General features: G+C 38.7%; 1 protein-coding gene across 3 annotated transcripts in view; it reads right to left on the reverse strand.

Annotated features, from left to right (window-relative positions):
• Window positions 1-948: 948 nt before the first annotated feature.
• SLC5A8 (solute carrier family 5 member 8) overlaps window positions 949-25,412 on the reverse strand; it is a 54,746-nt gene continuing 30,282 nt past the window's right edge. Inside the window, exons 11-15 of one of the 3 annotated variants that reach the window (NM_145913.5) lie at window positions 13,552-13,638; window positions 11,950-12,155; window positions 7,430-7,533; window positions 3,705-3,784; window positions 949-2,857 (exon numbers count right to left, since the gene is read on the reverse strand). In NM_145913.5, coding sequence (NP_666018.3) covers window positions 2,735-2,857; window positions 3,705-3,784; window positions 7,430-7,533; window positions 11,950-12,155; window positions 13,552-13,638 — 600 coding nt within the window. In that variant the 3' untranslated portion in view covers window positions 949-2,734. The other 2 variants (XR_007063055.1, XM_017018910.3) reach the window with 2 other exon arrangements.

A 25,412-nucleotide genomic window follows, 5' to 3' on the forward strand; every position in this document is an offset into this window, starting at 1 on the left:
TTCAACCACTGTGGAAGTCAGTGTGGCGATTCCTCAGGGATCTAGAACTAGAAATACCATTTGACCCAGCCATCCCATTACTGGGTATATACCCAAAGCACTATAAATCATGCTGCTATAAAGACACATGCACACGTATGTTTATTGCAGCATTATTCACAATAGCAAAGACTTGGAACCAACCCAAATGTCCAACAATGATAGACTGGATTAAGAAAATGTGGCACTTATACACCATGGAATACTATGCAGCCATAAAAAATGATGAGTTCATGTCCTTTGTAGGGACATGGATGAAATTGGAAATCATCATTCTCAGTAAACTATGGCAAGAACAAAAAACCAAACACCGCATATTCTCACTCATAGGTGGGAATTGAACAATGAGATCACATGGACACAGGAAGGGGAATATCCACTCTGGGGACTGTGGTAGGGTTGGGGGAGGGGGTAGGGATAGCATTGGGAGATATACCTAATGCTAGATGACGAGTTAGTGGGTGCAGCGCACCAGCATGTCACATGTATACATATGTAACTAACCTGCACAATGTGCGCATGTACCCTAAAACTTAAAGTATAATAAAAAAATAAAAAAAAAGAAAAGCAGGAAAAAAAAATAACATATATCCACATAAGAAATACATGAATATATAGTTAATTTATTTGTATTATTTATTTATTTATTTATTTATTGAGTTAGGGCTTCATCACCCAGGGTGGAGTACAGTAGCGCAATCACAGCTCAGTGCAGCCTCGACCTCCTGGCTCTAGCAATCTTCCCACCTCAGCCTCCTAAGTAGCTGAGACTACAGACACACACCACCGTGCCTGGCTAATTCTTGTGTTTTTTTGTAGAGATGGAGTTTTGAACATTGCCCAGGTTTATGCAGTTAATTTAAATGTTATATAAATCTCCCTCTCTCTCTCTCTTTTTTTTTTTTTTTTTTTTTTTTCCCAGAGACAAGATTTCACTCTGTTACCCAGGCTGGAGTGCAGTGGTGTAATCATAGCTCAATGCAGCCTTGAAATCCTGGGCTTAAGCTATCCTCCCACCTCAGCTTCCCTAATAACTGGGACTACAAGTATGTGGCAACATGCCTAGCTAAGTTTTTTTTATTTTTATTTTTTATTTTTGTAGAGATGAGGTCTAACTATGTTTCCAGGCTGGACTTAAACTCTGGACCTCAAGCGATCTTCCTGCCTCAGCCTCCCAAATGTTCAGATTACAAGCATGAGCCATCATGCCCAGGCTTTTTTTTTTTTTTAAATTTCTTAACATTGTCAGTTAGCAACCTCTAAATGTACAGGGCATGATTACCTAAATAACACGTATCAGAAAATAAGCATAAAATTATTTAATCATAAAAACATTTGTATGTATCTAAATATTTCTCTTATGTTTCTAAAAAAAATTGAGTTTAAAAAAGAACTTTTAAACAGTATCTAATGTGGGAACTGTACAAAAAATAAGTTATTGATGAACTCCTATAACCAAACTCTTAGCTAGGAACATAGCAAAATAAACAGCTAAGCAACTTTGAGACTGCTACTTAAAAATTTTAAAACATGGAACAAAGCATTTTTTGAGTCCAGACGTTTTAAAAAAAGTAGTGTTTGCTTATATAATTTAGCCCTTTAACTGGATAAATATACCGAAATTTCAAAATTTCTAGGCATATGTATCTTTAATTGATTGCAAATTAGTTGACATTCAAAAGTTCAACTTAATAGCATTAAGTGTAGTCATCTAACTCCATGGAGCTTAACCATTTTGAAGAATATAATATTCTTGGATCATCAAGTCCATAAATACCTACATCAAGTATATGTTAGTACCAAGCTAATGGGAGTTCATAATTTATAGTCTGGGACTTGATAAGCCAGGATTTGGGGTGGCATGATTCACATGAGTGTCTTGAGACATATCCAAGCCCAGGGCAATAAACAGAAAATTATGAAGACAAGCTCAGTTAGAGTGCACAATAAAACCCAAGTTGATAGGTCAGAAACTGGGCATGCAGATAAAAATTACAGTCTAAGAAAGGCAGTATCAGCAGCCAAAGCCCAGAAACTCTAGAAAACAAGCCAAAAGGCACAAGAATTAATGAACAGCACCAAGAAGACTTTGATCATTGGGCCCACGGTCTTTCCCAGCCAGAATACTTATTGATTACCACCTTCCTGATTCAGAATCAGTTTGCAGGTTAGTATATGCCCTGGACTGATAGGGGGATAAAAAGCAAAGATCTAGACAACACAGACCTGTTACCTCATTGCTCCCTAAGAATGGTGTATGTGGTAGGAGGGAAAAAAGCTCTTTTCAAGATGAATTGTGATGTTGGCAAACTTCCAAACTTATATGCTAGCACCAAGGCATGGAAAATATTTTCAATAATACCCAAATTTAAGAATATACCTTTGACAATCAAATACATGTGCATATGTGTGTATTAGCCTTTCAGCATCTATGTAGTTACAATTTTCACAATTATAGCTTCATCGAAATAAAGGAAAGAGAGGGAAATGTCAATGCCAGAATTCTAAACTCCAGAGTAACATCAATTAATGATGTAGTAAATGAAGATAGTCCAGACTTTGTTTTAACAAAAACTTATCCCCCAAACACTCATGATACAACACACACACACACACAAAGAAAACCTGATCCAATTATCTTAGAAAACATATAAAATTGAAACATCATTTAAGGATATCTAGTATCAGAGCAGCTTCACAAACGAGTCCCATTGCTCTTGCCACTCTGATCTGAGTTCAATTCAATGTGGTTGAAAGCAGGATTATCAGTTCCACCATCTTCCACTGGATGTGATTTATAGCTCAAAACATGCTTCTTCTAAAAGAAAATGTTAACATGGTGATTAGGGGGAGAAAAAGAAGCTCTTCATTCATGTAATTCTAAATAATTGTTTCTACTATTTTTATTTCTCTGCATCAGCTTTCTAATCTACTGAGGGAGAGAAATATATAACAGGTATACTTCCTCAGAGGATACCGAGATATTCAACAGATACAGGTTATCAGAAGATAGATACAAAATAGCCCATCAGACAATAGATATACAACAGATTTATAATATCAGAGGATAGACAGATATATAGAGAGATATAACAGATATAAGTTATCAGAGGATAGACAGATATAGAGAGATATACAACAGATACAGGTTATCAGAGGATAGACAGATATAGAGAGAGATACAATAGATATAGATTATCAGAGGATAGACAGATATAGAGAGATATACAACAGGTATAGCTCATCAGAGAATAGAGGGATATACAACAGATATAGGTTATCAGAGGATAGAGAGAGATAGATATACAACAGGTGTAGCTCATCAGAGAATAGAGGGATATACAACAGATATAGGTTATCAGAGGATAGAGAGATATACAGCAGATAAAGATCATCAAAGGAAAGAGGATATGCAACAGATATAGCTCATCAGAGGATACACAGATAAGCAATAGGTATAGCGTATCAGAGGATATGGAGCTATAAAACAGATATAGATCATCATAGGATAGAGAGCTATCCAACATATATAGATCATCAGATTATATAGGGTCTATACCTTCCTTGTCCATCACTTTTCAAGAAAGAGGTTGAGAACTAATTAGTGTTCTATCCAGGTAATAAAGCCCAGTTTCCTAACTCAAGGTAAATGAAAGCCAACTCACTTTCTTAAAAATATCAAAATTGGATAAAAAGTCCTCTTTGGTTAGTATGTATCTGGGGTCTAAGTTCTGTTTTCTTCCTCCTGGAAAAAAAAATGTACATGACTTACGTTGTTAAAAAGGACACCAGTAACTACACAGAGACATTCCATTATACAGGCATTTAACTTGTTCACGTTCAACTCCATACATTCAAAAAACACAAAGAGAAAGGGAAACTTAAAAGCACTGATCACTTAGCCCGCAATTCCCCTTTCCTTAATTAGCCCCAGGTCTTGAAAGCCTCTCACTATAATAAATATGAGTCTCTCTCTCTCTCTCTCTCTCTCTCTCTCTCTCTCTCTCTCTCTCTCTATATATATATATATATATATATATATATATATATGTATCATATATATGTGTGTGAGATAGAGCTTAAACGCAAGCCAACTGCTTCATCTGGTACTCAACTAGAGAAACAGTCATCTGGCCCAATGCTGGTAGGAAAACTGGTTTAAAAGCACCCTCCATGCCATCAGTAAAATATCAAACCATCTGCCCCGCTTCAGACAGTGGAGCTGCTTTTCCCCACTTTGTTGGCTACAAATATACATGTCTATGAAGAAATGCAGGCAATTCGGAACTGCTGAATAAATTACTTAAGTGAAAATTAGTATGCTGACTGACGTTTGATCCAAATCCTCTTCCCTAAGGTTTTCTTTACAAAAAAAAAAAAAAAAATTCTATTTTGCTTTGGTATTTTTTGTGGATCAAAGAGGATGCTTTTAAAAATTGTGTATCTCAAAGAGTGGTCCTCAAACTACCCTTCCCCAAATCATTCAAGGAATGTACTTAAAATGCAGATTCCCAGACTCTAGCCTGGACTGACCAAATTAGGACCTCTGCAGGTAGGACCCCTGAAGCCTGATTTTTATAAAATTTCCAAGAGGATCCTTATGCCCTCTAAAGTTTAAGAACCACTACTTTAGTACAAATACTAGACTTTTAATTATGGGAACCTCTGCTGTTCTGGAGATAGAATCAATTTTAAATGAATTCGTTCAATGTTATTGAGTACCTACTGTGTGCTGGAGATGCTGCTAGGTGCTAGAGAAACAAAGAAACAAAACAATCTCTGTGCCCACAGTTTGTGATCTACTTAGGAAACTATTTGCCCCCATTTTCCTGATGAAAACATAGCCTTCTGCATAGTAAAAATCAGGGGAGTGCTGAAACGCCAACCAAGTCTGTAAGGCCTGAACTCTTATGGGAGTTTTAGTATACTACGATAGGTTTTAAAATCTGTTTCCCAGGGAGCATCAAAATTGTGTGCTTCTCATAGTTTTCAAGGTACTCACTGCTTCTGTGAAGTAGGAATAAGTTATTTGTGAAGTTAATGAAGTTGAAGTGTTTTCTATTACTGGATCCCAGTCACTGAGGTAGAGTGTTACTTCTTGAAACAAAAGATATAGCTGTATATGGTTTTTCAGAATCAAAGCATTTAAAAGAAAAAAAGGAGTATTCAAAGGAGCTACTCTGATACTCCACTTTCTTTTAAAAAATGAGCTAAATAAGGACCAAAGGGCAAATAGTACAGGGAGACTGGTTAGGTGTATTCCAGATCTGAACAACTGAATAACTGCTGGGAAAAGATGAAAATCTGTCTTAAGACTGGGCATGGTGGTGGCTCACGCCTGTAATCCCTACAATTTGGGAGACCAAGGTGGGCAGATCACCTGAGGTCAGGAGTTCGAGACCAGCCTGGCCAATATGGTGAAACCCCATCTCTATTAAAATTACAAAAATTAGCCGGGCGTGGTGGTGCGTGCCTGTAGTCCCAGCTACTCGGGAAGCTGAGGCAGAAGAATCCCTTGAACGCAGGAGGCAGAGGTTACAGTGAGCCAAGATCGCACCACTGTACTCCAGCCTGGGCAAAAGAGCGAGATTCCATCTCAACAGCAACAACAACAACAACAAAAATCTGTCTGAAAATATATCAAACTGGACCAAACAAATTAATAAACCTACTGTACTGGGAATTTTATTTTTGAGAAAGAGCACAGTCCTTTTGGAAAAGAAAGAATATTTTCCAACAACTGAGAAATAATGAATAGCAACAAATTTTATAATTATAAATACAAGTGTCACAGAAGTTTGAGAGACAGTGCTATCTCAGTGCCAAAAAACAGAAAATGATAGCAGGATTCTGTAAAGTGGCACAGTGCTGGCAGCTTTGTAGCATGGAGCAAACAAAGACATCAGACATCCTTGAACACAACTAGTTGTAACACATGTTGAAGGAGGCAGTTGCACCCTTCCCCTGGCGTGGCTGCTATGGATGCATACATGTGAGGGGATGTAGGGAGTCAGGGAGCCCAGCATGTTTCACCAACTCCGCACTACCCCGGCCCCAGCACTGTGATCTCTCACCTGGGTTACTGCAATAGCCTCTTCCCTGCCCTCGTTCCCCTACAGACTATTCTCAAAATTGGATCAGAGCACTCCTTTGAGAATTATTGGAAAAGTAAGTGAAAAAATATCTCACATAGTAGACCTAAAAGACACGGAGAGGAAAAATAAGAGAGAAAAAAACGAGAAAATTAGAGGAACTGTCCATGATTCTGATTCAAATGTTTGACTAATAGGAGTTCTCAGAGAGAGAACACAGAAAATTATTAAAAATAGAAATAAAAAGGAAGAAAAGAAAACAAAAAAGAAAATGTCCAGAACTGAAGGGCATGGATCTTCAGATTGAATGGGCCCTACTGAAGGCCTAGGCCAAGGCAGTCATTGTGAAAATGGGACACACACAAAGTGTCAGCTGGTAGCAGAGCGCTGTCACAACAGCAACATAGCAAGCTAGAAAAAAATTCAGACATCCTCTCAGAAAAAAGAAAAGTTCTTTTCAACCCTAGCAATTTCTACTCAAACAATCAATCAAGCATAAGATAGATTAAATAATTTTTTTTCAGACACACAAAGTTTCCAAAACCTCTTCTTTTGTCTACTCTTTCTTGAGAATATGCTATAGGATGTGTTTCATTCAATTAAGGGAGTAAATGAGAATGAGAAGTAATGAATATAGGCAGTAGAAAACCCAACACAGGAACAGGGGCTAAGAGAATTCATAGAATGAGGACAAAATGGAGTCCCAAGATAACCGTTCTATAGCAATCCCAGAGAGCAATTTATATACTATGTGTATCAATTTGATTTTTTAAAAATGAACACACTTTTTAAAAAATGATAAATATCTGAAAAAAAAGCCTCCACACTATGTTTAGATATAACCTGTGTATGCTTCTTTACAGTTCACAAAGAATGAATACTGGACCATGTAAAGATCACAGCATATTGGGTTATTATAAAAATATGTGTAAAATCCCTAACATCATAGCAGTTATGAAGTTCTTTTCAAGCATCTTATTTTTGTCTTACAGCAACTTGTGAGATGGGCAGGTCGATTATTATTGTCCTCATTTTATACATAAGAAAGCTGAGGCTCAGTGTAGCTATGTGACTTGCCCAAGTTCATGCAGCCCCTAAAGGGCAGAACCAAGATTCAAATAGAAATGAGTCTTCTGCTTTCAAGTCTAGGCCTTCAGATTTCCCATGAGTAAAACAGAAGAAATAATTAAACTAGTTGGCAATAGGATCATAGTAAAATAACATAAATAGCTATAAAACAGATACAGTAAAAACTGATATAGAGGTAAATACAACAATACTAATGTTTAGATAGTTACCTGTTGATAAACTGACAAGTATCCCCACTAATAATGTTACCAAAGTTCCAACAGTGCTGAAGTACAGATATGATAAAGAATACCAGTTATCCATCAGTGGAGTCCTAAGAGAGCAAAAACACAACGGTAAGATTTCATGTAATGCCACTAGCAACTACCAGTATATACCAGTGATTCCCATGGCAAGGTCAAAATATAACACTTAATAATGTTTTTAATGTCATAACCTGCTGTCCTAATTTTATCTTATCAGATCAGGAATTGAAAGCAAAACTTCACCTTGACTATATACTAAAATACTTGAAGGTCATGTTTATTCATTCAATTCTGCATGATGTCCCAGGCACTGCTCTTGTGATTGGACAGTCAGCCATAAATAAGGTAGATAAACCATTTGACCCAGCAATCCCACTACTGGGTATACATCCAAAGGAAAATAAATTGTTCTACCAAAAAGACACGTGCACTTATATGTTCATCGCAGCACTATTCCCAACAGCAAAGACATGCAATCAACCTAGGTGCCCATCAATGGTGGACTGGATAAAGAAAATGTGGTACATATACACCATGGAATACCATGCAGCCATGAAAAAAGAACAAAATCATGTCCTTTTCAGCAACATGGATGCAGCTGGAGGCCATTATCCAAGCAAATTAATGCAGGCACAGAAAACCAAATACCACATGTTCTCACTTATAAGTAGGAGCTAAATGTTGGTTACTTATGGACACAAAGAAGGGAACAATAGACACTGGGGACTACCAGAGGGTGAAGGGAGACAGGCAAGAGTTTACCCAAGTAAGAAACCTGCACAGGTATCTAAAATAAAAGTTGAAATTATTTTTTAAAAATAAAGTAGATAAGATTCCTGCTAACATATAGTTTATACTCTAATGGAGAGATAAATACAATAAACAAATTAATAAATATAATAATTTCCACTAGTAGAAAGTGCTGTAAGGAAAGTAAAACAAGATGATGTGCTATTAACAGGGTGAAGAGGGAGGAACTACACTACAAGTGGTCAGAGAAAACCTTTGGGAATAAATGACATTTGAACTGAGATCTGAGAAACAAAATGTTCTTGAGGAAAACAGAGACTAAACACCAGCTGACTGAGGCACAGTGAGCAAGACAGTGATTACAAGATGAAAGATAGGCAGGGGGCTTTTTGTGGGACCAGGCATGAGTTGGAATTTTACTCTACAGGCAATGGCACTCATTGCAATGTTTTAAGTGAAAGAGTAACATGAACATTCTATGATCATTTCTACAATGATTGCTCTAGGATTCCACTTTCAGTTTTGATAGCTGCTTGATTTAGAACAATCATTCTGCTGAGAACAATATATAAAACCTGGGGCATGGGGAGGGAGGCAGGTTTTTGAAGCTATCAGAGAGATCAAGACAATGAGAACTTGGCTGGGGTGGTGGCACACACCTATAATCCCAGCACTTTGGGAGACCAAGGCAGGTGGATAACCTGAGGTCAGGAGTTCAAGACCAGTCTGGCCAACCTGGTGAAACCCCATCTCTACTAAAGATACAAAAATTGGCCAGGTGTGGTGGCACATGCCTGTAATCCCAGCTACTTGGGAGGCTGAGGCACAAAAATCACTTGAACCCAGAGGTGGAGGTTGCATTGAACTCGAGCCTGGGCAACAGACTGAGACTCCGTCTCAAACAAAAACAAAAACAAAACAATGAGAACTTGAGGTGACAAGAACCCAGAAAGGAGGGGAACACATTGAGTTGAGCTAATGAAATTAAGAGAGTGTGATATTGAGCCAAAGACAGACAAAATAGAACAGAGTAGAGAATTGAGAAATAGACCCACAGAAAAATAGTTACTTGGTTAACATCGTTTTCATCGCCAGTGCATTCAATGGGGCAAAAGGGGAGTCTTTTCAATAAATGGTGTTTAGTTAACTGAGTATCCACATGGGGAAAAATAATCTTGATCACACCACCCACAGAAATCAATTCCAAAGTGGATTACACTTCCTCAATGGAAATGGTTAACAATAAAGCTTTTAAATAAAAAATTAGTGGAATATCTTTATGATTGCAGGGTAGACAAGGATTTCTTAAACAAGACACATAAAGGACTAACCATATAGGAAAAAACTGAGAAACAGAAATAAATTAAAATTAAGAAATTTTGACTGACAAAAAAAGTATCATTAAAAGAGTAAAAAGGTAACCCATAGAATGGGAGAGAAACATTTTCAAAACATATCTCATATCTAGAATATGTCATGAACTTCTATGTAAGTAAGAAAAAGACAGAGAATCCATTTCAGATGGACTAAAGACTTCAATAACTAAGTCGCAAAAGTAAATATCCAAATGGCCAACAAACAAATGAAAATGTATTTGACTTCATTAATCTTAAGGGAAATACAAATTAAAACCACAGCAAGCTACCAATGTAACCATCAAATATTGTAAACTTAAAAAAATCAAAACTGAATCTAGGCAATTGAAACAATTTGTATCTAGGCAACCAAAGCATCACACATTCAACCTTCAGCTGGGTGGCTCACAACCCTTGTGCTCCAGCCCTATGGAACTAGGATGATTTCCTAAGATGCCCTGATTCTTCAGTCCTTCATGCTTTTGCACCGGTCGTTTCTTCATTCTGCGACACACACTCCTCCTTCCTTGCGATACAGATTGTGTCCCTGTGCTCAATCCTGCTACCTGACTAACTCCAGCCCATGCAATTCTCCTCTAAGAAGGTTTCCTTGACTCCAGTCAGGCAGACTTCCTCCTTCTGGCTCCCATGATATCCTGTGAATATTACTTACCACAATGCATGTTTTAATTTATTTTCTTGTCCAATTTCCCTTCTGGTCATTTTCTGTGACAAGAATGACTTTCCAGATCTTCCCCTTCATCTAGCCAAACCTATGCATTCTTGAAGTAGTAGTATATCTCTGAAGTCTTCATGCTAACTTACACTCCAACTTTGTACTCACTCTTTTAACAAAAATGTATCAAGTATTTTTTATTTACTATGTCTTAGTTTTTATACTTAGCATGCTTACTGAGTTTATTGTTTTGCGTATATTTGCACATTCCCTCCTGCTAGATTAGAATTTTCTGGAAGGCAGGAAACAGTGGCTGGGAGAGGAAGATTTTCTTCCATGGATACTAAATAAATGGCCAGCACAGTGCTGGGTACATAGTCCATGCTCAAAAATTCTTGTTTATTAGCTGAAATATTTGATAAGTAAACTAACATATAAAACTATTATGGTACCAGGCATAGAATAAACTTCAGCTAATTTATTTGTTTCAGGAATCCAAATAACCATTTTGCCTTAGACTTTTAAGGGCAAATATTTACATAATTAGGAAAACGCTAAGCAAAATCATAAAACAAGAAGAACATCCTGTGTCTTCTCACTTAACCTTCAATTAATCTTTTCTCCCTTTCTGACTCTGATGACTCTCCCAGTCCCCTCCCATTAGTGCTTTCATGCCTGTCCAGACTGCTCTCCACATGTCCTTGCCCCTCTCTCCACAGCACCTCACCTAGTAAAACTTCCCTCAAATACGCCTCAGGCTCTGGAACTACCTTTCCACTCTACCATACACAGCTTACCTGCCTGGAACGCCCCTGGAAGTCCCACTGGCTAGCTTTCTCATAGCTGAATTCTCTCCAGAACACAAATTGCTAATAATGGCTATATGTATGATCACGTTCCTTCTCTCAGGAGTGTGTCCATTTTAAGAGGGGTATGCCGTGTCTTGACCCCAAAGGTATGACTATATTGATGTCATTCCAGATAAGCTGGCACTGGGGCAATACTCTAGGGGCAATGGCATCATCTTTGCATTCCTTGAACGTATTCACAGGGTTTGTGCTTTAAAGCTGGACACTTATATATCCACTAAAGAAAGTCTTGACCTCACATTCACTGTACAATAAAGCATGCCTCTACCCACTATTTCAGTACGTTAAATCAGACAACTTCAGCATTTAGAGGCTCCAAAGTGTACTGCATGACTGAAATCTGTAGCATGAAGATCACAGCTGCAATCACTTCTAATGCTTTAAAGATTTGGAATCTTCAACTGAACAAATGGCAGTTATTTAACATGTTTAAATAATTGTAGCTTTTGGTCAGTAAAATCTATCTTTCTAAGACTATATAAGCAATATTTATTCTATAATTGTGCTTTCCATTTTAAAAGTTTTTCCAAGACAAAGATAATTCTTCATGCAGCTAAGAGCTGGTGTTTAGGAGAGTTTACACATAACAGAAGTTTCTCATTAATATTTAAGTTTTCTTAGATCTGTAGACAAGGCAGAAATTTCTAGAGAAATTATGAAAATATGACATTTTTTGTTACCGCTGCAGAAAATACTATAGCTAACCACATGGGTTTTACTCATTTCAGAATTAGGCAAAATCACAGTGTTGTAAGCAAGACAAAAAGCAAGTGGGGTTCTCTACTTGTTGCGTAAATTTTTTAAAGTATAATGTAATAAAACTTAATTCAATACCTTTGAACATTGTATATTTGAAAAACACTAGTAGTAAATGGCATTTCTGTGGTTGTCATCAAATTTGTCTCATTGTAGGTGCTGTTACAGCCTTGGATATCAAGGTGCAATGGCAATGTTCTCTCAGGAAGTGGAGGATATATTTGAGCTCCAATTCCAACCCATAGAGAAATGGCAAATCCAGCCATCAGACCAACAAGTGCTCCCTGTAAAACAAGAATGCCTTTAAAAGAAAAATAATACAATTTGCTTTGATGTCAAAATTAATATTAGAAAGCCAAGTTCAACATGGCACGAAATTATAAAACTCACAAGGGCAGAAACATTCAACGCTCTCTCCTCCCAAGATAGTGCTCAGCCCATAAAAATCTATTGAATAAATGAACAAGTGAATAAATGAATGAAAGGTATTGAGGCAGGGAGAGAAAAAGGAGTGAGAAAGGCCACTTTTAAGGAAGGCAGATAATCTGCTGGTGAAAAACCTGGACATGGTTTAAAAAAAAAAAAGATACTGTTTATGGCAGGAAGAATAGTATGTTATTCTTCCGTTACCGCCCCCAGAAAAGGACATGTTAGCTTAGTCAGCTACAGCTCTTCCGGAGGAAATACACGCTGGCAACAAATGCCAAATATCAAAAGTTGATTTTTAAATACATTTTTCTAATACTTAACAAACTAATGCATTTCATCACGCAAAGAATCTAATCCAAGCTTCAACATTCTGAGGTGGACACAAACAAATCTCTTTCATTGTGATTAATTCCTACAAAAGCAGCTTTTCATATGACATTTCATTGAGGATAATAAATAATAACCACAATAGTCCTTATTAATATCTGCCTTACCAATTCCTAATGCCTTATAAGGAAAATAGAATTCCAAATGTGAAGTCAGAGTTCTATGGCTATTCTATATCTGAAGCGACTGCACATACATTATCAGTTTTTCCTGAACTACATCTTATAGCCAGACTGAACCAGTGGACTTTCTTCTGGGTTTCAGAGAAATAATTTCTAGCTCATTTATTCCAAACAAAAGTTAGCACTTCTAAGCACAGATATGTCTAGGTAGAAGGACAGAGATATTACGTCTTTCTGGAAAATATTCCCAATTATGATCACCCCTTTGGGGCTAAATCATGTTGTGGGAGCTACAGCTTTAAATGTCAGGAGTAGAAAATTCCTGGCCAAGGTGGTAAGATTGTGTTCCTTCTCTTTGCTGTGCTATGGCTATTCACAGAAATCCTAAGTTTTCTGCCCTTAAATCTCTCATCTCTGAGCCTATTGATCTCTTTTAAATCCTAGCTATTAATTTTTGAGAAGGGCAAGTAGGTACGTGCATAAAAATGTTGCTCCTTTAGTTATATTATGAATATTTAAAATTGCCCTATATGGTTCTGGAAGTTTCCATTGAGCTTCACACATTTAGGGTCCCCATACATAGTACTTCCTTGTACACTCCACCAAAGTCAACAGAAATAATTTAAGTCATCAAGACAAGTAGCTAATGACAAATCTCAAAGGAACCAACTGAGAAAAAAGTGTAGAGCTGCTAGTATAGTTCAAAAAGTAATCCTCAAGCATATTCATTCTTTGTACTTACAATTGAGTTGGCAAAGGGAACCAAAATGCCCAAAGCGAACAGGCCCATAAGTGGTCCACCAACCATACCAAATACGCTGAGTGCTGCCTACAAAAATAATACAACGTCAGCAATTAGCAATCTCAAATCGAAACTCAAATATTTCAAAGTCATTTCATCAGGATAATGACTTAAAGTATTCGGCCTCCTTCTGAAAATCATAGTTTCAGTCATGATAGCCTTATCACTGGAAAAGAAGTCATTAGAACTTACAAGTTTCTGCATCTCAGTCTCAAGGATCCATCTGTTTCTGCAAGTAGCCTCAAAAAAGGCCACACAACACAAAGAAGATAGAGAGGTCTGCGACAATGGTAGTGCCTATGTGAATGTATAAATCATGAATGATACCTCTCCTCTTAGCATTGCTCTTGCAGGTGTTTATAAATCACAGCACTCCTTTGTGCTTTGATAATCTCAAAATCCTCTCATAACGGTGGACGAGTACTGCTATGTGACCAGAGAGGAGGATGAAACCCATTTGCCATTCCTGATTTGATTCCCTAAGGATGAAACTAGAATGAGAAATACGATTTTAAAAAGACTGATCAAATCATGTAGAAATAGATTTAAAATCTAATTAGATAACTGCAACCTTTGCTTTGATGTAGAGATATCAAATCCATGATAGTAAAAAAGATTTACAGTGCAAACATCGCATGAGGCAAAGCAACTAAATGAAGCTTCCAAGAGATATACGTTCCCAATAATCTAATGCCCAGTTCTTAAGAATGGACACAACCATAAAAGAAGAGCAGGGAATCACTGGTTTGTCCAGAGAGTAAAGGGGTTTAATAGAGCAGAATGAATGAATCAAAGAGAAAATACCAAGTCAGGGAAATATTAGAGGAAATAGTGCTTCTTGTTGTCGTTGTTGTTTTAAATAGGCCTACTTCATGGAAGAAGAAAAGGATGTGGTACTGAGTAGAGAGGAGAACTAGTGTTTAAAAGGATGCGGACTCAAGGATGTGATCCTGAGTCAGTTTACACACAGTCCAGTCAGAAGGGAGATAGACTTCACTGCAAGACGTCATATGACCCACAAAGCAAGTGATGACTGTGTGATCTGTGAGCAGTTTTGGAGACATAACAAAGACACCCAAAAAAGATTACAAGAGGAAATAAGACCTTGGCTAGAGATGAAGCAAGGATGAACTGGCTTGGAGTTATGATGACTTTGCTAGAACATGTCATTGTATATAATCAGGCCATAGCTGATATATGGAAAAAGGGGAATCAACCACAATAAGAGCTCCAGGCACTAATGCAGACTATGAAGAAAGCAAATTCTGTATGACTGGCTGTGGTTTAGGAGTGCTGGGCAGGCTTGGAGCTTCTGGATCTAATTCATTCATTCATATAATCAGGGATGGGGTCAAACTATTTTACAACTGCTATGTCCTAAACAACAACCAACCAGAATGGCCCCAAGCCTTAGGACTGAAGAAAGATCCTGGAGGACCCCTGCTGTGCCAGTACTAGCCTTTAAGTTTCTAGGTCAAGGGGAGGTCCAGGATCCCAGAGGAGCAGCCCAAGTGGCCAAGGAAATTTCAGGGAGCACTTGGGGTCATCAGATAATAGGATATTTATGAGCCTAACTACATTATTAGTTAATATTCAAGCTAAAGTTGTTAATGTCTTGCTTTGTCCTGGGCACTGCAGTAGGAACCAGATATTTGATACAGGATTGAACAACGAAGTCATCTTCCCCACCTTCATGAATTACAGGCTATTCAGTAAAACAGACACTAAATAAATAACTGTAATACAGTTTGATAATGGAGATGATAAAGAAAGTACAAGGTGCTTCTAGAAACATTTAGCAGAAGGGAATGCAAATGTATCCAGGTAATAGGAAAAGTCTCTTTAAATAAGTAATGTGTTAAAATGAAAACTGAAGAATAACTAAGGCTTAGGCAGTGGACGAGGTAGAGAGGAAGGTGTTGCAGGCAGAGGGAGAAGTCTATGCCAAGGCCTGCGTGTTGAAGACAGTGAGGTGCCCACAGGGTTCAGGAAGAAGACACTGTTGTAAAGATTGGTCTGTCCTCTCCAGGCCCACAGCTCCACAGGAACAGGAGGGAGCTTTCCAACACAAAAATGCTCTCTAATCAGAAGAGCAAACGCCACAGGAGGTGAAAGACCCTTCAGGTAAATAAACAAATTTTTTTTAATGAAGTATTTCTACTTCTGAGAAGATAAACATATGTTTCTCTATTCCTCCTACTAATAAAATTAAAAATCCTGACATTCCATATAAAATAAACATAAGAAGACTCTGAAAGGTGCAAAGAAGGCAGCCCGCTAGGGACCCTGGACCTGAAGAATGGTACAGGGTGAGTTCCCTAAGTTTTCTTTTTGCTTCATGTATCCCAGCCTGAGAACTGAAGAAGCCAGCCAGCCTGGAAATGGCAACAGACACAGGCAAAAAAACTTTAAAAAGATAAAAAGCCCTCACAAAATCCTGTTCTCTCTCTAGACACAGGGCCAGGAAAGGAGCAGCCTAGGAAGATAGAAAACTCTTAGACCCCAACCGCTCCATTCCATCCGAACACCACAGAATAATCTGTTCACCCCACCCACACCCATGCCAGCCTAGATTCCATCCCCCCAGACTGTCACCAGGCACCCTTTGCCTCCCTGCTGGCAATGACATGGGAGGCCTAGTGGAGAATCGGGACTTTCACCATGGCCCAGCAGTGACAAAGCCACCTCCTCCATGATGTCAGTGAATTCCACCCTGTGGTGCTCGCGTGTTTCGGGTGGTCCTAGTTAACCAGCTTCCCAGGGAAGCCTCTTCCCTTGAGTTCGCTTTGCATCATTGTTGAGTCTTGTACACCGTCTGATGCTCATGCATTTTATTCTGGCAGTGCTCTTACCAGAAGAATAGCAGGAGCAGGATGGTGTCGTGGGCCAGATTTAGTCACAGGTTAGATGACTGACAGACCAGGAGGGTTTTCATCTAGAGACCTTTCTCAGAGTTTAGGGGATCCTTCCTCCTTTCTTATACTTGTATTCAATCCAGGTCAGTTACCAGGTGTTTTGTTCACAAAGAGAGATTAAGCTATGCTTGTAAGGGTAAGCTTTGTTCCAAGGTTTGTGAAAATTGCATCGTGCTGAGGTGACCTGGTCTCCTGGAAATCTGGTTGGAAATCCCCGGCCAGGTTGCTTCATACTGCTAAGTTTGACAGATAGGACTGACCCTCTGAGTTGCTTGAGTGGCCTTATGCCTATCATTAATCTTATAGCCATAATATATCTCATTGTATACCACACTCCACCCCTGACCCTGAGGGGGTCAATAATTGAGAGGCTGCCCAAGTTTGAAAGTGCGCTCCATGGTCAGTCAAATCTTGAGAAATGGATCTTCTGTAGGACGGTGAGTAGGAGTTGGTGGCGCCCTTGGAAAAACCTGGAAATGAACTGTATCATCACAGAGAGGATACAGTAGATCTAGTGTCCAGCTGAGCAGTTAGGGGAGATCATGAGAATGGGGTTCGGCTGTGGCTTTGGGGCAGACTCGCCAATGATGGGGGAAGAGTGGAGGACAGGTAGCGACCAAGTCTGGACGGGAAGCAATGGATGTGTGGCAGGCCAATGAAGGCATGCCCAGCAGGCTGGAAGGTTAGCTGCTCAGTGGGTGGCCAAAATGTGGTGGAGGCTGTCAGTGACCTCAGTGCCAAGTAATTGGTGAATAGGTCTGGAGAAGCCACAGTTGGATGTGGAAAGTCAGGCCACCCGGAGTAGCAGCAAAAGAACACGGGCACACTGGGGCTTGGAAACACGATTACATGAGCAGGTGAAAGGAGTTGAATGGACTCAGTGGTAGCAGGCTTAGAGTTGCTTGATTACAGAGCAATGACAGGTGAAAATGGAACAGAAGGATAAGGAGGACACAGAACTAAGCAATTAGGTCTGGGGACACTGTGTGTGCTGAGGTGCTGTCAAAGATCCAAAATCGTGATCTTGAACACGGCCCGATGAAGCCAAAGTTCAAGGTGTTGTCCATTCCAGATGGCTGTCAGGCACAGCTGGGGCACCAAGTGTCTCTAGGAGGCACTGGCTGCAGGAACAGTGGTGGCCCAAGAGACCCCTAGGCAAATATACCAGTAAAGGTCTTGCCAGGGAGGGATATAGGTAGGGTGGGTGGGACAGTCCAGGTGGGTCATCCTGGACACAGGGCAGGAATGTTAGCAGTGAAGACATCTTCCCAAAGGTGGAAGTTGATGCTCAGCCATCCAGATGGGTGGTAGGTCAGTGGGTGGGATGACTGGACGACATTGGTATTAAGGAGAGTTTGCAGGAATTCATGAGGCTTGCCAGACAGGAGCCAATTTGGAAGCACCCTTCAGCGTATCTGCCAGTAGAGGTCACTCTGCCCTTGTGAACAGCTGGACTGGGCCTCATCCCGTGGGTGAGGGGTGTGAGAAGGCCAGGGAGAGCAGAGCCCAGTGTGAGACCTCTGGCTGCAAGGTCCTGTGTGGTGGGTAGGGAGCGAGGTGCTGTTGTGAACACTGTTGGATGGTTCTGTCTGAAAGGTGCAAAGAAGGCAGCCCGCTAGGGACCCTGGACCTGAAGAGTGGTATAGGGTGAGTTCCCTAAGTTTTCTTAGGGATTCTTAGCTATTCTTCAGCATTTTCCAGGGTGATGAGGACCTACAGAGCTCAATTAACTTCAGGGACTGTGGCCATCAGGGCCAGGAGAGTTGGTTTGGCTTATGATGGGCTCTCCTTAAAAACATCTGTAAACCATCCGGGTGCAAGGTGGTCTGTTCCAAGGTCTCCCAGTTGTGCCCCTGTCCCATGGGAGTGGCGGCTGTGCAAACTCACTGGAGCATGCCTAAGCGCCACAGTGGCTCCCCTTCTTCCTCAGTGTGCACCAGCCACCTTCAGCCCTTGATGAAAAGAGGCTCATTCTGGGGGTGCTATTTGCCAGGCCTGAATAGCCACTGCAGCGGACTGCAGGGACAGTTATGTCTACCCACTCTACTCTGTGCCTGGATAAGCTCAACAGGGTCTTGAAATAAGGAAATGATCTTATTATCTTTAAAGATAGCCGCTGGCTGCTGTATTTGTATTTCTCGGCCTATGAGTTGCAAAGCACTTCCTCTCAGGTACACACAGCACAGCCAGGTGGTGCCTTTCTCTTTGGGTTCCTGCACCAGGTCTTTGAGCAGGCTTTGAATTTCTGTCCACATTAGGGGTGAACCTCTTCATGGACCATATGGTGTCTAGGACACACTTCCTCATCTCAGCCAGCTGTGGAGGTGGCAGCAGCTTTCTCAGCCCAAGTGATGACTGGTGACACCTGTGGTGTGGCCAGCGGTAAGCCAGCACACCCAGGATCATCATTCCACAGCTCACAGGGCTCTGGATCGACCAGGCAGAATGACACGACTCTGAGGTGAGCCCGCGTGACTTGGGCATGTTGCCTATGGGCTGCTGCCAGCAACACTCAGCAGACATCACAGGCTGGGGCACACCCCTTGAGAAGCCACACTGTCTCAGCTGGAGTGCATGGTGGGCTGGGAACAGCTGCGACATGCCCTTTGATGATTCTTGTGGACTTCACTGGTGGTGTTAGTCCAAGGATCTATTGGGAAATATGCTTCTAAGTCCCTAGCTGGTGGGCAACAGCACATAACCCTTCAGCAGGTAAGCTTCACCTTTGCCTTCTTGGTCTGTGGCATCACAGTGCCAAGATCCTTGGGGGCAAGGAGCAACCCTCCCACAGCAGGAGCCAGAGACACACCAGCCAGTGGTTAGCTCTTCAAGCCGGGGCATCCTCCACCTCTGCTTCCTCCTCCTTAGAGCCTGTCCCCAGTTACTGGGGACCAGAGTGGTCTTAAGAATAATTTTGGCAGGTTTTTCATGGTGGCAATTTCACAACAGAGGCACAGACAAAGTATGTAGAAGGCAGCAACAGGCCACAAAGTAAAATAAAAACTACCAGACACACTACGGAGTGTTCCGGAGGGCTTCATTTGACTTCTTGATCAGAACCAGTCCCCAGTCACCCTTTCCCAGTCCTTCCTTAGAAATGGGTGCCATTACTTACTTGCTCACTTACTTATCCTATCCTCAATGCCAGTTGTGTTCAGAGGTTGTAGGTGGACCTAGTTAACCAGCTTCCCCAGGGGCGATGTCTCCTTTTCTGTTCACTTCACATCAAAGATGAGTCTTAGGCACCATCTAATGCTCAATCGGTTTATTCTGGCAGCACTCTTAGAAGATGGATAGTGAGAATAAGCTGGTGTCATGGGCCAGATACAGTCAGGGGGTCAGATCATGAACTGACCAGAGAGTCTTCATCCAGAGACCATTGTCAGACTTTGGGGGTCCTTCTCCCTTTCTTATACCTGTATTTAGTCCAGGTTAGTTACCAGCTGTTTCTTTCATAAAGGGTATTTAAGCTATTATTGTAAAAGTAAGCTTTGTTCTAAGGTTTATGAAAGCTGCATCTGTGCTGAGGTGGCTTTTTTTTCCTGGAAATCCCTGAGCCAGGGTTGTAAATTCCTACATGACATGTAGTATCAGCCCTGCAAGATATTTCAGTGGGCCTCATGCACTATCATTAATCTTATAGCCACAATATGTCTCATAGTATTCTACACACCCCTATCCAGCATAACAAGGAGCTCCTCCCTCTGGACTTCTACCTCCACCTGAAGTAATGAGGCGGCACCCTCCCTTACGCTACTGACGTAGTGTCAGAGAAAGCTGGCTAAAACAGAAGGTAAGATTCAAAGTTTCATCACATAATATTGAAATGCCCAGGTTTCAACAGAAATTAACTTTTCATAGAAAGAACCAGGAAGATCTCAAACTAAATATAAAGATTACAGAAACAGAATTATTTGATAAAAAATTTAAAACAGCCATGATTTAAAAAATGCTTTAACAATTAGAATTCACTTGAAACTAATGAAAAAATAGAGGGAAAAAATATATATAGAGAGAAAAATCTCAGGGAAAAAAAGAAGATATTAGGAAGAACCAAATGAAACTGTTACTCTGAACAAATACAATAACTGAAATAAAAAATTTTAAATGAATGGGCACAATAGCAGTATAGAAGGAACAGAGAAAAAGATCGGTGAACTGAATGACAGAACAACAGAAATAACCCAAACTGAACAATAGAGAGAAATGAAATGAAGAAATATAAAATAAACTTCAGGGATCTGTAGAACTATAACAAAAATATTTAACATTCATGTCATGAGAGTCCCAGAGGAAAAGAGAAAGAAGATGGGGTGGAAAAGTACTCAAAGAATTAATGTCTGAACTTCTCAAATTTGATAAGAGACATAAATCTCTTTCAGACTTATGAAAGAAGCTGATTCAAGATTCAAGAAGCTGAGTAACCCTAAAAACATAGGAAAAGAAAGAAACACGTGCCAAGACACATCAAAAACTCAAAACAAGGAAATACACACCAAGATACATCATAATTAAACTTCTGAAAACTAAAGAAAAAACAAAACAAAACAAAACAAAAAAACCTGAGAGCATTCAGAAAGAAATGACTCCTTACCTGTAAGGGAAAACAATTAGAATAGTAGCAGATTTATCATCAGAAATGATAGAGACAAAAAGAAAGTAGAAAAATATTTTTTTAACTCCTGGGGAAAAAATACTAGCAACTCAGAATCATATACCCAACAAAAATATCCTTTGGGGATAAAGGGGAAACTCAAGACATTCTCAGGTGAAGGAACACTAAAAGAATGGCTAAAAGAAGTTTTCTAAACAGAAAGGAAATGGTAGAAAGAAGGAACCACAGAACAACTCACAGGAAGGCAGAAAACAAAAAACAGAAATACCAAACAGACAACTAAAAACTGATTCTTAAGCCCTAACATAACATACCAATAATTATATTAAATGTGAATGGTCTAAGTACACCAATGAAAAGACAGAGATTGACAGGATGGATTTTTAAAAAAGACTCAACTGTGTGCTGTCTACAAAAAAACTCACTTCTAATATAGCAACATAGGTGGTTCAAAGTGAAAAAATGGAAAAATATACTATGCAACCATTAATCAATGGAAAGTAGAAGTAACTATATTAATATAAAATAAATACACCTCACAGCAAAAAAATTTCTCAGAGACAGATAGGCACATTATATAATAACAAAAAGGTTAATCCTTCATTAAGACCCAATGCATGAAGCAAAGCAAAAACTGATAGAACTAAAAGGGAAATAGACAAATACACAATTATAGTTGAAGAATTCACCACCCCTCTCTCAACAATTGATAAAACAACCAAACAGAAAATCAGCAACCATCAACAAACAGAATGTAATTGATATTTATGGAACACTCTACCTAATAAAAAAAGAATACACATTCTTTTCAAGTGCTCATGGAACATATACCAAAATACCATATCCTAGGTTATAAAACAGACCTCAACAAGTTTAAAAGTACTGAAATCATAAAGAGTGTGTTCTCTGATCACAATAGAATCAAACTAGTAATCAATAACAGAAAGATAACAGGAAAATCTTTGAATACTTGCAAACTAAGTACCATACTTCTAAATAATCCATAAATCAAAAGAATATCTCAAAGAAAACATAAAAATACATTCAGCTGAATGTAAACAAACATACAAGATGTCAAAAGTTGTGGAACACAGCTAAACTGGTGCCAAGAAGGAAATTTTCAGCAATAAATGCACACATTAGAAAAGAGGAGAAGATTCAAATCAGTAATCTAAGATCCCACCTCGAAAACAGCAAATTAAAACTCAAAGCAAGGAGAAAAGAAATCATAAAGATAAAAGTTAAAAATCAATGAGTGAAAACAGAAAAACAACACAGAAAAATCAATGAAAAAAAGAAGCTGGTTCTTTGAAAACATCAATGAAATTGACAAACCTGTAGCAAGACTGAAAAAAATAAGATACAAATTACCAATATTAGGAATGGAACAGGGGCTATCACTACAGGTCCTGCAGATGCCAAAGGATAGTACAGAACTACTATGAACAACTATACATGTATAAATTTGCAAACTTAGATAAAATGGAACAATTCCTCAAAAACATAAATTGTCACAATTCATCGAATATGAAATGGATAATTTGAATAGCTCTGTAACTATTAAGGAAATTAAATTCATAATTTTGAAACTAAAAAAAATCCAGGCCCAGATGCTTTCCCTAGAGAATTCTACCAAATAATTAAGGAAGAATTAGCACTAATTTTAGACAATCTCTCCTAGAAAATAGAAAACAGAATCCTTCCCAATTTATTTTATGAAGCTAGTATAACCCTGCTATCAAAACCAAAGGCAGTATATACACACACACACACACACACACACACACACACACGCATGCATGCACACACACACACCACTACAGATCAATATCCTTCATGAACATAGATGTAAAAATTCTTAATAAAATATTAGCACATATAATTCAGCAATATATAAAAATAACTACACACCATGACCAAACAAGGTTTATTCCCGGTATGCAAGGCTGGTTCTGCATTAAAAAACCAATCAATGTAATCCATCCTGTAAGCAGGCTAAAGAAGAAGATCACATGATCATATAAATTGATTACAGAAAAAGCATTTGAAAAAATTCAACTGCCATTTATGGTGAAAACTCTCAGAAAAAAATAGGAATAGAGAATAGGAATAGAGAGTTTCCTGTTCACATTGGGGAACTGGGTAAGGATTTCCACTCTCACTACTTCTATTCAACATGATATGGAAGTTGAAGCCAGTGCAATAAGGAAATAAAAGGCATTCATACAGATCAGAAGGAAAGAAATAAAACTGCCCCATTCGAAGATGACAAGACTGTTTATGTAGAATATCTCAAGGAATATAACAAAACAAACTAAACCATAAAACAAAGAAGCAAAAAATTATCAGAACTAATAAGTGAGCTCAGCAAGGTCACAAGATTGAAGATAAATATAAACACATCAATTTTATTTCTACATTTTAGCATTGAACACATAGACATCAACATAAAAAATACGATTTGCATAGAAAAGCTAAATAAATGAAGAGACATACCATGTTCATGTTTTAGAAAATTCAACATGGTAAAGATGTCATTTCTTCTCAAATGGATAAAAAGCTTTCAGGCTATCAATATTTAAGCAAGATTTTTTTTGTAGATACAGACAAGATTATCCTAGACTTCATATGGAAAGGCAAAAGAACTAGAATAGCTAAAACAATTTCGAAAAATAAGAATACAGTGGGAGGAATCGATCGACCTGATCTTGAAACTTATTTTAAAGCTGCAGTAATCAAAATAATCAAATTATAAAGCTGTGTGGTATTGGCAGAAGTACAGACACATAAATAAATGAAAGAAAACAGAGAATTCAGAAATAGACTCACACAAATATGCCTAATGGACGTTTTACGAAGGTGTAAAGGCAGGTCAATGGAAGAAAGCCTTTTCAACAAATGGTGCTGGTTGCACATCCATAGAGGAAAAGAGAATGTCAACCTAAGTCTCACATTTTATACAAAATTAACTCCAAAGGGATTGTAGACTTAAATATAAAATGTAAAACTCTAAAACTCTTTGAAAAGAAACATAGAAGAAAATCTTCAAAAGCTGGGGCTAGGTAAAGTTCTTAGACTTTACACCAGAAACACAATCCATGAAAGGACAAATTGATAAACTAGACTTTATCCAAACTAAAAAAAAAAATGCACTTTGACAGACCCTGTTATGAGGATAAAAAGACAAACTACTGTGTAAGAAAATATTTGTAAACCACATCTGACCAAGAGCTAGTATACAGAATACATAAAGAACACTCAAAACTCACCAGTAAAAAAAGCAAACAATTGAATTAGAACATGAGCAAAAGACATTATGAGATAATGTATGAAAGAAGATACATAGATGAAAAATAAGTCGCTGAAAAACATTTTCAACATCATTAGCCATTAGGGAAATGCAAATTAACACTACAATGAGATATCACTATATGCCTATCAGAATGGCTAATATAAAAAAAAAGACACCACTAAATGCTGGAAAGAATGAGGTTTAAACTGGGCCATTTGTCTATGCTAGTGATATAAAAATGACATGCTCTGGAAAATAGTTTGGCAGTTTCTTTTAAAAGTAGACATTTAGCAGTCACCTGACAGTTGCACTCCTGGGTAGTTATCCCAGGGAAATGAAGACTTATGCTCACACAAAAACCTTTATGTAATGTTTGTAACAGATTTGTTTGTAATACTCAAAAACTGGAAACAATTTAGATGTCCTTCATCAGCTGAGTAGGTAAACAAACTGTGATACATCCCTACCAGAGAATACTATCTGATAATAAAACAGGACAGATTATTGACATACGCAACAACCTGGATGAATCTCCAGGGAATTATGCCAAGTGAAAAAGGTTACATTCTATGTAATTCCATGTATGTAGCATTCTTGACCTGGTAAAATTATAGAAATGGAAAACAGATTAGTTGTTGCCAGGGATTAAGGAGGGAGTAGGGGCAGAAGGGAAGTGGTTGTGGCTACAAATGGGCAACAGCAAGGATTCTTGTAGTGATAGAAATGTTTTGTATCTTGGCTATATCAATGTCAATATATGAGTTTGATATTGTACTATCAAGATGTTACCACTGCAAGATGTTACCACTGAGGGAAACTGAGTAAAGAGTATATGAGATCTCTCTGTATTATATCTCACAATTGCATGTAAATCCACAATTATCTCAAAACACAAAGTTTAATTAAAAAAAATTAAAAAGTGTAGTCATCCCTGCCACTTGATATGTCCAGGTGTCGATATATATCGAGAGAAGTCTGG

This window comes from Homo sapiens, chromosome 12 (genome assembly GCF_000001405.40).
Source record: "Homo sapiens chromosome 12, GRCh38.p14 Primary Assembly".
Taxonomy (NCBI): Eukaryota; Metazoa; Chordata; class Mammalia; order Primates; family Hominidae; genus Homo; species Homo sapiens.